The 17,575-nt window shown below is 43.2% G+C and overlaps 1 long non-coding RNA gene across 1 annotated transcript in view, besides 1 other annotated feature; it reads right to left on the reverse strand.

The window, feature by feature from the left end:
* Nucleotides 1-17,575, reverse strand: part of LINC00298 (long intergenic non-protein coding RNA 298) — a 54,390-nt gene that overhangs the window by 22,104 nt on the left and 14,711 nt on the right. The window lies entirely within an intron of this gene.
* Nucleotides 14,116-14,296: a silencer, noted in NCBI's record as "fragment chr2:8098775-8098955 (GRCh37/hg19 assembly coordinates)". NCBI's record gives its function as "represses an EF-1alpha promoter that drives an FKBP-Casp9 reporter gene in an ReSE screen in K562 erythroleukemia cells {active_cell/tissue: K562}" and the evidence as "EXISTENCE:reporter gene assay evidence [ECO:0000049][PMID:32094911]".

Genomic DNA, 17,575 nt, shown 5'->3' on the forward strand with positions numbered 1-17,575 from the left:
TGAGGGATGTCCAGAGATGGCACTCATCCTGAAACAATATAAACGTGAGGAAAGAGAAAGACCATTCGCTTCACCACATCGCATTGTTTTTGAAATCTAATTGTTGATTTAATGACCTCTCTCTTTTTGCCTTAACTATTGCCTGGTAAGCTATTCCACATATTCATGATTCTCTGCACGGAAAAAAAAAAAATAGAAGAAGAAGAAGAAGAAACACTTCCTGACATCTGTTCTGAATTTGTTTTTCTTTAATTTTCATTTATACCCTCTTGTTCTATCATCTGTGTTGGGCTCAAAATAGGAAACCATGTTGACATTTTCCAAACCATTTAAATTTTATGTTCTTTAATTAAAATCCCCCTCTTAACTAGATAGACATCTAACCTGGTGGGTAGATGCTGTAATACTACATCTAAATGAAGACAATTTTTTTAAAGAATCTTCTCCCTCCTACAGAAAAAAAAATAGAGATCTTGAAGTTATAGTATTTCTGTGTCATCCAAAGCCAAAGGAGGTTCACATACTTTTATTTTTGCCCTAAACTTGTCTGAAACTGTTTGAAATGGTAATATAGAGCTTCATGTCCCACAGCACTGGCGCCACAGGCTGCTTGTCATAAGCAGTTTTCCTGCTGTTTTGGGGCAATAGTATTTGTGTTGGTCAGAAACCCTGGCTATGCAGACTAATTCCAAATTTCTCAGCTCATATATCCTGTTTACAACCTTGAAAGCTAATATAAGCTCCTCTACTCTAAACCACTGCATAAACTACATAAATAAAAGAGGCTTGTATTTTTTTATGAGACATAGGGGCCATATCAGACTTAAGTAGAAACAAGTAAAAGGCTCTCTTCAGGTGAGATTTTTAGTGATGTTGGAACCCATGTGTTCAAGACTAAATTATTTAAAAGCAGAGCCATGAACCTCATTCTGTTTAATATCTGTAGGCCCCTCCTTAAGACTCTAGAAGACTGCCTTGCAAATAACTGATGTTCCATGGTTTTTCTTATTTTATTATTTAGATCAGCATATATACCTTGTGTATGATAAAGAGTGGCAGAATATCTGAGAAAAAAATTAAATTCAGAATATCTGAAAATCTGAGAAATGTCTGAGAAAAAATTTACAATTCCGAATATCTGAGAAAAAAATTAAAATTCAGAAATGTAATCAAAATATATTTGTTTTTAAGTACTATGCTAGAAATTAGACCTATAGTAGCAAACTGAGTAGATCTGGTACCTACCCTCATGGAAACTTACTTTCTAGGATGAAGCTAGACAATAAACAATAAAACCAACAAATGCATGCTATGAATCATAATGAGCTCTATGAAGGAAAAATTGGAGTATTACAAAAGATTAATTAGGAAGCTCAAACTTTAGATTTCGTTGTCCAGGAAGACTGCACCAAGTCTACGACACTTACGGTAAGACCTGAAGGATAGAGTGAGAGGAACAGTGTTCCCAGAGGAAGGAACAGTGTTCCCAGAGGAAGGAACAGTGTTCCCAGAGGAAGGAACAGCAGGTGTGTGATAATGCTCTGTTGTCAAGGCACTGCCCCACTCCCCACTCTCTACAGTGGGAGCAGAAGCTGGGAATGATGCTGTATCTTAGGATCCTTTTTCCCGTGAGATTCCCGGTTTGCCAACAAGAGAAACCTACATGGATCTTGAAGCAGAAGTGGCGCTGACTCCACAGCTCTCTAGAGCTGGACACAGCCAGACCTGGAAGTGGAGATGGGCTTCACACAGGGTGCTGGGCGGGCTGTGTGGGTACACATGCCTGGCTGATGCAGACTGCGGCAGTTGGTGGGAGCTTTCAAAGGCGCTCTTGAAAATTGTAGCAGTTTCCTGGCAAGCCTGTGGAAACAACCACCATTGGCGTTTCAGGCTAAGGTCCCAGTGTCTGTTCTCATCTTTCAACTGGAGTGCACCTGACGTTTTCTCCCACGTTCTCCCAGTGTTCATGAAAGCCTAATGCTCATAGTAAGCCCCGTTTTCCCAGAATACTCACCATAACTCAATTTTTCTATACAAACTCATGTTGACATGGCATGGGAAAGTCTTAAGGAGGGAAGGCCCTCGGCATAGTCAAAGAGGTCAATACCAGTGAGATGCAAAACAATATTGCCTTAGAAAATAATTCTGGGAAAATCCCTCATGATAGCAGGTCTACTAGCATTGGGCATTTGGAAGTTTGTGTACAAGTTTCCACCCGCCACACAAGTTTTCTGTTTTTGTAAGCTGTAAAGATCCAACAAGCTTGAAAAGTACAGATATTGTTGGTCTTTCTCTACTCTGATCATTCTGAAAACAGGTGAGATGTTAAGTAGAAACAAAAAAAAAATTGCTCTTCACTCCCTCTAATGGTATTGTTCGAGCTCTGGAATGGGCTCTGAAATACACTGGGAACGTATACCATGTCAAGGAAACTGTTCCACTATTCTCAAAGCCCTGACACAGCAGGATGTTGATTATTTCAAAATTACAAATTAGATCCCCATTAAAATACATATAATTAAGTGATTAAATATGGGGAAGTAATGTCCTGCAAAATATTTACAGTCTACTAACCATAAGCAAATGGTTTGTTTAAAAAAACAAACACACAAACATAGTCCTCCTCTCTAGGATGGACTAAGATCATAGATCAGAGGATTTTTGTTTGTTTTTAATCACCTCTAAGTCTGACTTTTTCCCAATAAGATTGGGTTTTCAAAGGTACCCAGCTCAGGGGATGAGAGACAGAGCAACTGATGATCCTGTCCCTCTAATGATGATTCGCCTTCCCCTGTTGGGAGCCCGAACTCTGCTAAGCCATGAGGTCAATCATCACAATCTCTGGTTTTTGTTTCTCAAGACATAGAAATTATGAGATACTTGTTTCTATTTTTATAATTAAGATATAATTTATGTATAGTGAAATTCCCCCTTCCAATGTAGAGTTTGTACATTTGGACAGTACAGCACAATAAAGACAGTAGCTCCACCATACTTGGCCCCCCGCCCTTGCAAATAAACCCAAGGACTTTAATAGGTGGATCTGAAACATAAATCCAAAGGCAGCTTTGGAAGAGTGTGCTGAGGCACTTCCCCATCCCGTCCAGCAGTCTCTCAAGGTTTCCAATGAAGGAAGACAAATGGATGACATTAGGAATTCCAGCACGTGTGTCTGCCCAGCCCTGGAGTCACACAGGCCAGGGTCTACACCTGATCCTACCAAATTGCCCAGTGAGTTCTTGGGAAAATCCACTGGAGTTACTAATTCTTAGTTTTCTCTTCTGAAAAACATGATGGGCACAATGATGCATATGACACAGTGCTACTGAGAGCAGTAAATGCAGAGTGAGGTGTTTCACATGTAGAAGGCACGGAGTCAGTGATACCTCTGGCACTCAAGACTTATCCCTGGTGAGTCCAGTGTTTACCAGGGGTGAATTGAATCCTGCATCCTCAAGTCTGGATGCCTCCATTGCATCTGGAAAGGAGGATGAAAGGAAAGAATCCGACCACTCAGACATGGACACGTGACGGAATGAGGGGGAAGAAGAGCTAGCCAGCACATCTGGCCTTTCATGCTTGCACCATTTATCAATCTATTCACATAAAACATGATAAGGTGACTTCATTTTATTTTATCTTTTTCTCTCATTTCAATCTTGGGGCTTTATTGTCCTCTTGCATTTGGTTTTCTTGGTATAATTACTTACTCTTTCTGAACTGCCTGTCCTTTCAAAGTGCTTACTTTGTGCTGTCACAGAAGTACACATTTTTGGCCAAAGTGATGGAATTTGCAGCCAAATGAAAAAGAATATGTGCAATTAATGAAAAAACGGCAATGGACTATAATTTACAGATTATTTGGCAGGAGCTAAAAGAGTGAGACATGGCCCATTTTGTTCTCAGCCCTGGTTCCTGTAAAGTCTTCTTTCCATTTTATGCAAATAATGTAACAGAGAAAGGAAAACTAGGGATTACAAATGTGGGAGAATTTCACAATGCCCTTTCACCCAAAGGGACAAATATTTGATGATCTACAACAAGATCCCGCCATGCCTATTACATGCCCCCAAATGCTACCATATTGAACTAATTCCTCCCTAATTGCTCTGTTGCAAACATAATTTTCCATGTAATTAAAAAGACTTGCACAGCATCTTCAAAGATGTTACACAAACTAAACAATTAACTTGATATTAAGGTAAACTTTCAAGGAATTTGGAGTTTGGGGTCATTTGACACCCACTGAGTTGGATGGAAGAAAGATATACACACTCTTCCAGGGTCTCTGAAAATGATCTTGCCATAAGAAAAATTGTGTATATGGGTTTCTGTGCTCTGATTGTAGGGAATAAGTTAGTGAGAAAAGAAACCATACATCCTATGAAATGAAGGAAAGAGCAAAGATTTATGTAGTCAGAAAGATTTCAGTCTCTGCTTCATTGCTTATAATTTTGTTATTTAGTGCAAATTATTTAACCCAGCTGAGCCTCAATTTCCTTCCTGTTCTATAAAATGAGCCTACTAGGTGTTCATCAAATCTCACATTGGATACATAGACAGGGCCAGATTGTCCAGCACCCTGCAATGCTTGGATTTTATTCTTAGCACACTGGGACACCACTGAACTCATAAGCAGAAAAATAATGTCTCCCCACTACATTCTCAATAGACTGCTGGATTGGTTAAGTATTTCTGATTAAAAACAAAAGGATTTAATTCTGGCTAAATGAAGAAATCTGAAAGGATAAAACCTCTGAAAAACTTGCTCTTAGAAAGGCTCTCCAAGCATCTCAACAGCAGGAAGGAGCTGATCCTCAGCCTCCAATAGTCCCAATTCTTGTCATACTTGCTCAAGATTCCAATTTGGGAGTCAGCATCTGAGTGCTTAGCTTGGATCACACACAAACCCCTTGGCAGAAGTGTGGGGTCAGGGGTGGATCCTCAACATATAGCCCCACCAAGGCTAATGCAATGGAAGAAAAACTGTTCTCAAGGGACGATGATGATGTCTTCACCAAAATCAGGACTTTGATCCTCAAAGGAACTCCAGCTCCACCACAGTTACTGGTTTGGGGGAATCAAGAGTGGAAGAGATGAGATTAGTTGGAAATGGCTGCAGCGACCCAGGCAGGAGCCAAAGGTGGCCTGGACCAGACACAGCAGTGCAGGGAAGGACATAAGGAGAGACCTGAAATCGAGTTTACATGTAGAACCGCAGCACTTGCTGATGGGGTCCGTGTCAGGGTTAAGAAGAGGGGAAGAACGAAGCTTTCAGGTTGAGGATGGCACTCAATGGGCTCGATGATCTGCGATTCATCCTCATCTATCACCAGGACTGCCTTATTAAAGGAAAGAATAGATGCATATGGCATAGAACATGCTGAGCTTAATATATGCATATAGGGAACACAGATATGCACGATGCATATGGGCCATAGCATCTGCAAATCTATTTTAATAAGCACTTTTATTAAGCTTAAAAACAGCCTTCTTATATATTTTTTTAGTTTGATGAACAAATTTTAAATTATTTCTTGACTCAATGGAACATTTTTTAATTTGTACGTATTTTGAGGTCTTCTTTTCTTTCTCTCTCTTTTTTTTTTCTACTTAATGGAGCCCTAATCCAATTTCCCTGGGCACCAGCCCTCTGTGTGCCGCCACCCACCGCCCCGCCCTTGGTAAAGCACATAGCTCAACCGGCAGCGTGAGAAAGAGTGATGGAGGGAGGGAAGGGCACCGTTCATTTCAAGACTAAAAATATCTTCTCAAATTCTAGGATATTGGTTCACTCCTCCTTGAGACTATTAGAATGAGTTTCAAAAGTTCAGAGACTATTTTGGTCGGAAGCCTGAAGTTCTTCGAAATAACAGCGAGCAGCTGCTCCTCTCCGCTCTTTCCAGCTATAAATACAGGGCACTCGGAGACATTTTTGAGTCAGCCACAGAGGGTGTGAGCACTTATTTTCTTTTAAATTTTTCTCCCATTGTGTCATATTTCTCTATAAAGCAGAGGTGGAAAATTAATAGGCCCAGTGGAAATCAAGTTTCTTTTTTTTTCCCTCCCCACGGGAGAAGGAGCCTTATCAGCCTTATTGTTCTGCTTTGGGGAGCTCTGATGTCCCACTGAAAGAGGAAGGTAAAACCTCTCTAAATCACCCTCTGTACTCAGGGGTTCCTCAAGGTTCCCAGGACATCAATATGATAGTGGGGAGAAGCCAGGGCTTTGGGGTCTCTGGTACCTGAAATCTTACCCTGTTTCCCATATCTATCAGCTGGGTAACTCAGAGGCAATCCTAGGTCTTGAAGATCCTTTCTTGGAGGCAATGAAGCTGAGGACGCCACCTCCCAGGGCGGTGATGAGAACGAACGTGGCCACTTATGTGAGAGCATCTCCCGGGCCATGTGACACCTGGTAAGGGTGGAACTGAACACATACTGTGTTCCTTACCCTTTTCTCCATGTATGTGAGAGGTAGTGGAATACACAGGCACGTCTTTGTATACATGTGGGTGCTGTGCCCATCAGGAATGCTGACTGCTCTCTGTTTAGACCTCTTATTATAGCAGGGGGTGCCATAGCTGGACAGAACAGATGCCCTCAGGGAGCCACAGGGCCTGTGAGCAGGTGGACACCATTCACAGGAAGCCCAGCTCTGCTGGCGCAGCGGGCCCAGCCCCCGCCGTGTGGCCTGTACCACATGTGCCTTTGTTCACACTTCAGAGTTGACTCTGGTTGAGCTAACCTGAGTGGCATGGCCTCTGTCCCACTGTAGAGCATCCTTCCTGGTCACCAGCAGTGGCTTGTGCCCAAAAAGACAAGGAAGCCTTCTCTGGAGCTGTTTTTAGGGAAGCCAGGCCTTCATGGGACTGGTGAAAGTCAGTTTATAAAGCTTCTCCTAGGGGCTGCTTCCAAGAGCCTCCAGGTTTCCTGCAAATCCTGCAAGGTGGAGCTACTTCCCTCCCAGGGCAGGGAGAGAGGGCCACCCTGTTCCTCCTTCAGCTCACTGCCAGCAAAGCCACCTGCCATCATGGTCACTGTCCTGGAAATGGCACAACTCCATTTTCTCTTGAAAGACAATATAGCAAAGCTGTTAGGAGCATGGACTCTGAGCCAGAACAACAGGTTGGAAGCATGATTTTGCCATTTATTAGCTGTGTGACCTCAGGAAAGTAGCTTAACCTCTCTGTGCCTCTGTGTCCTCTGTAAATGGCACAATAAGAAGGTCTATCTCATAGGGTTGTTATGGAAATTAAGCAAATGAATGAATGTAAGGTACTTAGGAGAGCGAATAACATAAAGCAAATGTTGGCTATTAGTATGTTTATTTATTTAATTTCAGAGAAAACTGCAGGGACAAATAACCCTGGATTGAAGTTTTTCTTTCTTATCAAGTTGATGTGAGCGTATTTTATTAAGAAAAGCATTATGACAACAAGGGATAATGTAGTAAGGAGAAGGCAGCCCAGCCTCCTTCCTGTTGCCCATTGCCATGGAAATAGTGGACACCGAACTTATTATTCCAAATTACATTTTGCAGAAACAATTGTCTAGGTGGACCTTGGTCAAAGTCAGCTGTGCGGATTCACAAAGCAGGAGATGAGAGTCCTGAACTTTCCAACTCCGTGCACTGCGAAATCACGACCTCGGCCCACACCTCCCACCCCTTCCCTGCTCCCCGCCAGATTTCAGCCCTGCACAGGCTTCTCAGAGGAGCCTCCACTGCTGTGGCTGAGAGCCCTGTGAGGCTCAGCCCTGGTGGGGTGAGGTAGCTAACAGTGACTGCATACTTCCTGGCCACGTTTCTAGGAACAAACAAAAAATGGGGGGAAAAAAAGAAAACAAGAAGGAAAAAATGATATCAAAATGTCAAGAATGCAGTTGTTCAAGGTCTTTGGGCTCTAACCCCAGCGAGAGCCTGGGATCCTCATTTCCTTGGCACCCCTCCTGATGAACCTCCACTGAAGTCAAGCCACTCACACAGCCCAGCGACCCCTCGCTGCCACAAATCCCTGGCTCACAACAGCGCTTTCATTTCTTCTTTTGTTTATTTATCCATCTCTTCCCAGGTCACCACTTCCCAGATGTGGCAATGCAGAGGCAACAAGCTAAGTTATCCATGCAGCCAATAGGGACGTTACACAGACAACGCCACCACGGTGTGGGTGGGTGACCCCGGGGATGCACAGTCACTTAGCATTTACAAGATACTACAATAGCTAAAAACAGCCACTGAAATCATGAGAAACAGCTGAATTTTGTTCATAGTCAATATTCAAAGTAAAAGTATGCATTCGAACTAAAAGAGGCTACAAACTCCTCATCTGGGAACTCCATATTTTTCTGCTGCCCAGAAGGGTGAGCACTCATAAAGTAGGTTCTGGAAGTGACAGAAAAATCAAAAAACCACGTTCTATTTACACATGTGAGCTGAGGGTGTGTGGAATTGTCCATCTTGAAGCTGAAGCCATCTGAACAAGTTGAATTCTGTCTTGGCATCGCTGGGAAGCCATGGATGGGTGGCATTATCAGAAGTACAGGTTAGCAGAATCCTGTGGCTCTCATTATGTTATAAAATGTCATTAATGAGATACCAAGAAGGTGCATCCCATTATCAGTTTTGTATCTATATGAGTGAGGGCAAAAATTCCCTTTAAATTCTCTTTAATGCTGTCTCTTTAGACTTTAATGCTAGCCTCTCTCCTATCCATGCAGGAGCTATGAGCCAACAGCAGGGAGAGGGGGCTTTCAGCAGCTGCCAAACACGACATTTCTGGACAGGCCACCTCACCCTCGGCAGGGGACATCTGGAGAGCAGCCTTTTATCTGTCAGCCTCTGCACGTCTGGCTACCTGCAAGGGGCCTGGAGCCCAGGGTGTGTGTGTAGCTGAAGCCTGGCTCTTGTGCCCAGCTGGGCCCCAGCAGCGCTAGGCAGTGAGGGAAATTTCCTCGCTTCCAGCAGCAACATCTGTTCTGGGAAGCCTTTGTCCATTTCTCTCTGAGATGCACGTATGGCTCCAGCCAGCCTGGAGGAGTGGTCTAATCAATGACAATGCCTGAAATCTGACAGGTGCAGGTCCCCCAGTGGACCACCTCCTGTGGCTTGGGACCAGAGCATTCCAGGAGCAAAAAACTGCCTGTCATGAGCTTGCCACCTGGCTCGGGGGTGTGTGGCATCAAAAAGAAGCATTGCATTCATTATTCACCGATTCCACAAGAGCAGACACTTGCACAGGGGGCGTCCTTTGCTCCCAGGAGATGTGAGCTCAAGATGGATGAACCTGTCTCATGGGGCAACAATGTGGCCTCCCCTCACTCACAGCTCACCCTGGCCATGCCCTCAGGTTAGGATAGTCTCCTGCTGTTTTGATGGAGGAAGCTTTTGCCCTAGAAATATAGAAATAATTTTCGGCCATGTGGGAAAGTTAAGTTGGTTTAAAAAATGGAGAGAAACATTGCCTTGTCTGTCCATTTATAAGCCCCCAAAGGTCATTGTGTGATTAAAGAAGACATAGGTGAAGTGTGTATATATAAGTATATTCATGTCTGTTTTGTAAGTGCACAAAAAAGACCTAAAAGAACACAGAATGCACTGCGAGCAGAAGTCAGTCCTGGGTAGAGAAGGGAATCAAGAGGGTTGCTGATGGTGGTCCTCTATGCTCTTCCCTACACAATCCGTATTCTTTGTTTCCAGTATAATATAATGTGCATATTGAAAATTGTTACTAGATGATGGCATGGATGCTTGGCTCATTAAAGTGAGATTACGAAGCAAAAGGAATACGAGTCTCTGATTTGGGGAACTCTGTGTTGAATTTCTACCCCTCCCCATTCATCCAGAGTTACAGTGAGCTGGACTGTCCTTGGCTTGCAGCCAAGTCTAGGTTTGACCATAGCTCTACCACTAGTAGGTGGCATGTAGACTTTGAGCCTCACCTTCCTCCTCAGTAAAATTGAGATAAGAAAATGTCCTTCACAGGTCTGTTACCATGAGTTAAATAACATAGCTCAATTTTCTGGTGCCAAAGAGTGTTTCCACCAGTGTTGCCATAAAACACTGCCACCGTCCCAACCCCACTGTTCAGGGAGGGCCACACACGCCTTCACATCAGCTCCTCACACAATGCACTGCAGCCCACCTGGCTCATGCTGATTTTCTCAGCAGTCCCTGAGCGATGCGAAGGCAATGTCTCTTTCTTATCTCTGCTTCTGCAGAGCCTAATTCAGTGTGGGGAACGTATTCATTGACGAATAAGGAATAAAGACTAAGTGACTATGTCAGTGGATGATTAAAAGAGTAGATAAAGAGACATACAAGTGAATCAATAAAACATTCAGGTCTACATGTTTAAAAGACTATTATCCTTTAAAAATATGTCTTTCATTTATGGAAGATGAAGATGCTGATGATGATGGTGGCTGGAAATGAGCTGGAATCTGGCCTGAATAAGGAAAGTGAATCTCTTTGCCTTGGCAAGCTCAAGTTGGAGTTGACCATAGATACCTTTCAACCAGGGTTGTTTAGGATGACCCTCAGGAATGATTGCTTGGGTCAATACTGGAGATGTGCAGCTTCATTCTAAAACGGGTCAGGAGATGGAAGGTTGCCCAGGCCCTGTCCCTCTAAGGTAGAGAGTAAATGCTTGTCCTCGACCATCAGGCGCAGACAACACTATCTCTCCCTCACGTCGGATGCTTATGATTTCTTTGAGAACAGCAGAGAGTTCAGCCGCACAATGCAATTCTGTCATAAATCTTGGTAATTCAGATTGGGTAGGGCATTAGTCATTAAGCACTGGTAAATGACCAATTTTCTATCACAGCTGCTTGCAGCTATATTTGAATGCAGAACAGGGGCTTTCAGGCCCACGTAGCAATGAAATTTGCAGTTTCTGGTGGTAATATTCGAGTGGCATCAGACCTCCTTAATGACCAATTTGGACAGAAATCTTGGCAACTTCTGGTTCTTCTCTGGACAACTAAGGAGAAGCAATTGCCATTTAATTTCAGGGATTGACTTTTTCAACTCTTGTAAACTTTCCTTCTTCTTCACACTAACTTGGAAGTAAGAGTCGGCATTTTCACACACTGCTGTCTTCCCCTAGTGCCAGGTAGGAAGTGATTGGGAAACACGGAGGCAGCTTGGGAAAGGAAAAGGGAGAAATCTGTTGCGTAGAGATGGGCACGCATACATTATCTGATGATCAGAATGTTAATAAAAAGATTCTTATTTTGATGAGCATGTTACTTGATGGGAGAAAAAAAAAGTGCTTTCTCTGAAAAATGGAATGAAATTACCCACACTGAGAAGAAAAACTGCCTTCCCTGCTGTGGGTAAGGTAGGCCAGTAAACATGTTTCCACCTTCTGCCACTCCTCCTCCCAGGAAGACAACAAGAAACTATTTTCTACCAAACTGCATGTATTAGATAAAATTTGTTTGCCCATGAGATGAAACACTGCATGGTGGTTAAAGCAGGGATAAAGAGTTGGACCAGTGGTTCTCAACTGGGGTGGTTCAGCCCCCAGGGATGTTTTTGGTTGTCACAACCGGGGACGGGGACAAGCTCCTGCAGATATCCAGTGAGTAGAGGCCAAGAAGACTGTTACATACCCTACAAGGCACAGAGCAGCTCCCTCTCTCTCTTTTTATCTCTCTCTCTCTCTCTCACGCATACACACACACACACACACACACACATGCACACACCCCCCAAAGAATCATCCAGCCCAAAATGAACAGTGCTAACTTGAGAAGCCTCTAGGAAGATAAGCCTGGTTCATATCCCAGCTTTACTCCTTATGAGCTGTGTCATCAGGGGAGCACATTCCTTGACATTGCTAAGCCTCTGTTTTCTTACCCTGAAAACACTGAGTGTTAGAGAACTTCTCTGTCAGAATTGCTGTGAATGATAGAGGACATAACGAAAGTCAGGGAGGGCTTAGTACAATATCAGGCAACCAGCAGGATGCCTCGCAGAGGCAGGTACTTAGAAATATTTGTTGAATGAGGAAACAAGACTTATCACACTAGGCTAAGCACACAATAAATAAACTTGAAGTATCAGTTATATTGCCTTCCCAAGGGTGAATCGATACTGTCCAAAAGGCTCTGGATTCTGGTCTCCAGCTTTCAGCTTCTGACGCTTATGCCCCCGGGGGAATCAGAACCTGCCCTTTTATCTAACTGGAGTCAAAAGCAGAGGAACTCATTCCCTAACACCAAGTCCTTGCCCATTTGGTATTCTAACAGGGACTTTGGTAACTGCTTTTAGGAAGTTGATGGGGCAAGAGCTCATCAAAACCAGCAAAGCTGTGGGCCGCAGAGCATCCAATGGTCTCTCTGCCGCCAACGCTGCCCTTGAAGCCCTCACCGAGGCCCCAGCACCACACATACTTCCCCTGTGTTAGAAAGAAAAGCTAACTCATAAGCCACCTGAGAAGATACCTGAGTCTTGAGGGAGTAGAAAGGGCATCTTGTAAGGTTGTTCATTGCAATGTTATTTATCACAGAAGGAAAAAAAATGGACACAACAGACACAGCCAACAAAAGAATTGATTGAGTAAATCATATCAGTAGCTATTCTGAAAACTATTTTTTACACAGGCCACTATTCGTTACACATTTATGAATAAAACACATATTTATTATGATCTGAGATTTGTAAAAACAATTATGGAGATGTAGAAACATGAATAAAAGATACGTAAATAGAGGATAGGATGGCTAGATAGATAGAAACAGATGACAAGAGACACGGACATATATAAATAAGCGAATGTATAGAGATTACTAGTGGTTATTTGGGGATGATGAGATAATGGGATTTGTATTTTCTTCTTTAGACTTTTTGGTATTTTCTAAATTTCCTACAAAATGAGCACATATTACTTTTACAATTGGGGAAGAAAGAATTAAGTCATAATTATTATGCTATTGGAAAAAGATCCTCCTGTGGACATGGAGTGGGAAAACGTGTATCTCCTCCTCATTTTCTGGAGGATACTGGGATGAGGTAAACAAGTGACCTCCGAGAGAGGAAGGGCATGAGGAGGGAAGAGAGAGACAGTGAGGAAAATAACAAAGAAAAAAGCAATAAACAAACATCAAACCAAACCAAAGTGCATGTGGTCAAAATAAATGGACGCTAGTCTTGGCTGTCCTGGTTCCTGGCTGTGTGGCCCTCAGCAAAAAGTTCCTCCTTGTCGGGATTAAGAACAGCACTGTTCACTTTGTTGTTAAGCTTAAAGGAGGATTTCAGGAACGCCAAGTAAACTGGGAAGTGCTGCCTACCACCTAAATGTTCACTTATTAGGTTAGAAGTGTTATTTCTTGGAAAGAGTCTAATGAAGAAATCTGAGAGCTGGATTCAAATTCGGGCTCTGTACTGCTTTAGGGATATGACGTTGACCCAGTCCCTTCATTGCTTTAGGCCTCAGTTTCCCTATTTTAAAAATTTGATCATTATCACCCAATCCACTAAATATGATATATTCAAAGCCACTACATATAAAAAGAACTATGTTCTTTAAATCAGTATACCTTAAATTTTTACTTTTAGGCCAAAGATGATATTTCTGAAATGAAGATCTATGGTGTCTATGTTTAATAGGCATGTTCGAAATCTTTACAATAAAAAACACAAATATCATATATATGTGAACATATACAGTAAAATATATCATGTAAATGTATATAACCTCTTGGTCGAATAACACCTGCAAATGTACTTTAGCACAAAGGTCTCAGAGAGGTACCACATTGATTACAGATTGCACACAGAAAGTTGTGGGATGTTAAAATTAAAATTAAGGCAGATTATCTGAGATGTACACTGATAATCATGTGAATAGAACATGATATACAGAAAATCCAGGTGGTCTCTGAAAGCCTGGGACATCAAGGGGCAAAGTGTAGATGATCTCAGATGAGCTTTTTCCAAAGATGCCAGAAGGAAAAAGTTAACAGGCAGGTGTTTATGGAGCAAGCAGAATGAAATTTGTGTTTCTGATCATCAGATATGTTCTAGAATGCAGAGGTGGGAAAATGATAATGGCTTAGTCCCCGTGTTTGCAGGCCTCCTCTGCACGGGAGAGCAATGAGGCTGTCCCTGAAGATACTTCAGAAGCTCAAGAACAACGTGCGTGTAAACAATGTGTCCTGCTGGCTCCAAACCAGCATGGAAATAAATCACAGCCACTTTGAACATTGTTATCAAATACCGTGAGACTCTAGGACGCAGCGCCGCTTCTGCAGGGCCACCTTTCCTAGCAAAATCTCCAGAAGCTCGTGGGTGATTTTTAGTGTTCAAAGTTCGCTCTGGAAGCTCCCATCTCATTGTTGGGGCTGGAAACCAGAAACACCCCGTGCAGTAGAGGAATCGTCCTGACCTCCAAAGCCAGTTCCTTCCAAGGCATCAGGGGGTGGATGCATCTGAACCCCAAACTCCTGCTCTAAGCCATACTTTATGGGACCAGACACTGTGGTTCTCTTCAAGTAGAGACAGAGAACAATCTTGCCCACAGAAGCTACCTCCACATGCATACCACACCAACACCAGCCTGGGCTCCCAGGAGAGCTGCTTCTGAGAAGGTTTGGGCACTTACCTCCTCCTAGATGGCAATCTACATTGTCCTTGTAATGGCAGATTCTCCGTGGGATTGGCCCACTGGTTGTCTCTCTATATCCCATGATGCTTTTATTTCGGGAGGCTCATCAGACTCTTCTTCCAGGAAGCCTTGGTCAGAGCCACTCTGGGCTGACTTTCACTGTACCAAGCACCATGCTAAGACAGTCAGTTAAGTTTTAATAACTGAGCCTTGGGAGTAAGGTTGGGCTTTCGAGTCCTGCTTTCTCAAAGGATCCTGGAGCTCTGCTGTGCACGTTTGCTCACATGCCCTCCTTCTCCCCCCACCCATCACAGGTCAGTGCTGTCTCGCACAGGAGAAGGTGCTGGCTTCCCCTGACGTCCTCTGTGGGTAGACTCACAGGAGCTCTGCATTCAGTGATCATGTGATGAGGATCAGGAATTTCAAAGAGGAATTTCAGCACTGCCTGCACTGAAATAATCACGTTTGACCTCACAAGGAACAGCAGGTTGGGCAGAACGTTAAGTGTCAGGCAGCATGAGAGCCCACACGCAGGGCACGCAGCCTGGGACTGAACCAGAAGAAGGTCTGCCATTGAGGATTTAGCAAGGGGAGTAGCTCATGATGAGGCGAGAAACAACTGTTTCCAGTCAGGTCCAACAACCTCCCTGAGGTAATCACAAAGTCATTCTAATATCTGGACTATAGAAATCCAAATTTCGTCTCCATCCTTTGGAGCTAAATTTCTGACGCTCCTTTCAACAAGATGAGAACCTGCCACTTTGGTTGGAACCAGGCCCTGGGCCTCACTGTGAAGGCTGAACGAGGATGACCAGAGCCGGGACCTTGGACACACTGGGAAGTGACCATCCAGCAATGTGTGAGGCCTGGGGGAAGGAGGAAAGAAAGCAGCCGGGGGAGGCCTTGGGGCAGAAAAGAGATGGACATGGAGGCCATTCAAAGCAGGGGAGAGACTCAAGGCGTGAGAAGACAGGCCTGGGGCTCAAGGTGGATCTGTTAAGGTCCGTGGTTACAGCCCGCTGCCCCAGGTGAGGGAGGATGCTACTGAAGGATGCGGAGTTTTTTAGGGAACTACCATGCAGGTTTTCCCTCGACCATCCCCATCCCTTGATTGACCTTACCATTCTCCCTTCAGGTAAACTGAAAAACAGAACCATAACAGAGGGATACTCACTCTCCACTCTGGTACATATTCATATTTCTTTTAGACCCTTCTCACAGGATCCTAGATAGGGAAATAACTTCAGACAAAACTTGGAACAAGACTCCTATCTTCACGTAGCTGCCCAGTAGCACATGGGTAAGTCACCTGAGACCCAGAGAAGTCAAGATTGTTTGTCTAAGAAATCTAATAACTGGCCAGGAGCGGTGGCTCACCCCTGTAATCCCAGCACTTTGAGAGGTCGAGGCAGGTGAATCACGAGGTCAGGAGTTCGAGACCAGCCTGGCCAATGTGGGGAAACCCCATCTCTACTAAAAATACAAAAAAAAATTAATTGGGTATGGTGGCAGGTGCCTGTAATCCCAGCTACTTGGGAGGCTGAGGCAGGAGAATCCCTTGAACCCAGGAGGAGGAGGTTGCAGTGAGCCGAGATCACACCATTGCACTCCAGCCAGGGCGACAGTGTGAGATTCTATCTCAATTTAAAAAAAAGAAAAAAAGAAAAAAAAGAAACAAAAAAAGAAATCTAAGAAATCTAATAACCCAGGTGGGCTAGGACAATTTTATTTACACCACATGCAAATGTTTCTTCCTCCCAGAAAATGTACCTGACCAACAATTAGACTTTGTGAAGAGCTACCTGAAACCCCCAGCCCTATTCTCTTATTTCTCATTGTATCCATTTAGAGGTTTCTGTGAAATCAAAATATTTCTCCTAGCATTAAGAGAAAGGGAAGGCAGATGTTAATCTCAACAAGATTTCAAGTAGTCCCTAATAATCTCTAGGCTAGGTGCTTAAAAAAGCCAGCATAAGTTCTCTGGCTTTTGGACTTCTTCACATTAAGGAAGTTTCTATCCCTAACTTCTCCAACTTCTCCCTTTCTAGGAAGAGTTGGAAGTTAGCATTGGGATCAGGAAACCCACACCCACATCTAACACTTGCTTCTCTCCAACTCTTTGGAACAAATCTTACATGTACAACTAATCCATGAAGACTTTTGATTTCCCTTCCCTGGGATAGAATTGGTATATAGAAGACAAAGGGGACCAGTTCGGCTCACGGTCTATGAAATCCTGTAATTTGGAGATAAACTGGATGCTAATTTCTCCAAATTTTGGCTCCTGATAATCACAGCTAAATTTTGAAATGCAAAACTAAGCTATGACTAATGCTTTTCTCTCTGACTTTCTCTAATAAGAACACTGCTAGTAGGAGCAGGGGAGAAACATGGAAAGAAGGAATTTTAAAATCGCAGAACTTTATTTCAAATACTACCCTCAATGCTCTTGTGTAGACTGCACTGTCATGAATTTTATATTTTTGCGTGTCCTAATGATCTCCATAAACAGAAGTTGAGGAACATTCTAATCTCCTTGAAATAAGGGGTTCCAGTGGAGAGATTTTTAAGAGTCAGTCTGACCAAAAGTCAAGCTTCAGTTTCAACATTTGTGAGTCCTGTGGCCTTTGACTAATTGTTTACTCTAAACTACAATTTCCACAACTGTAGAATGAGTCATAATTGATTTTGCATTTTTATGAAGATTAGAGATAATATATTCAATGCACTGATGTGTAGGTAGATTGATAATCACTAGTCTCCTTCTTTCTGTTTTCTGAATTTCCTGAAGACTCAAACCTAGTCTCATCATTCACCTCCTGAGACCTTAAAGAAGCATTCTTATTGGATTTGTTGATCCTGCTTTTATTCTTAGATTGTATTGCACCTGAAAAACTCCAGACTTGACAAATGCATCTAAACCTGCTGAGTGCATTTTTTACCGAATATCTTTTTGATGACGCT

This window comes from Homo sapiens, chromosome 2 (assembly GCF_000001405.40).
Source record: "Homo sapiens chromosome 2, GRCh38.p14 Primary Assembly".
Lineage (NCBI taxonomy): Eukaryota > Metazoa > Chordata > Mammalia > Primates > Hominidae > Homo > Homo sapiens.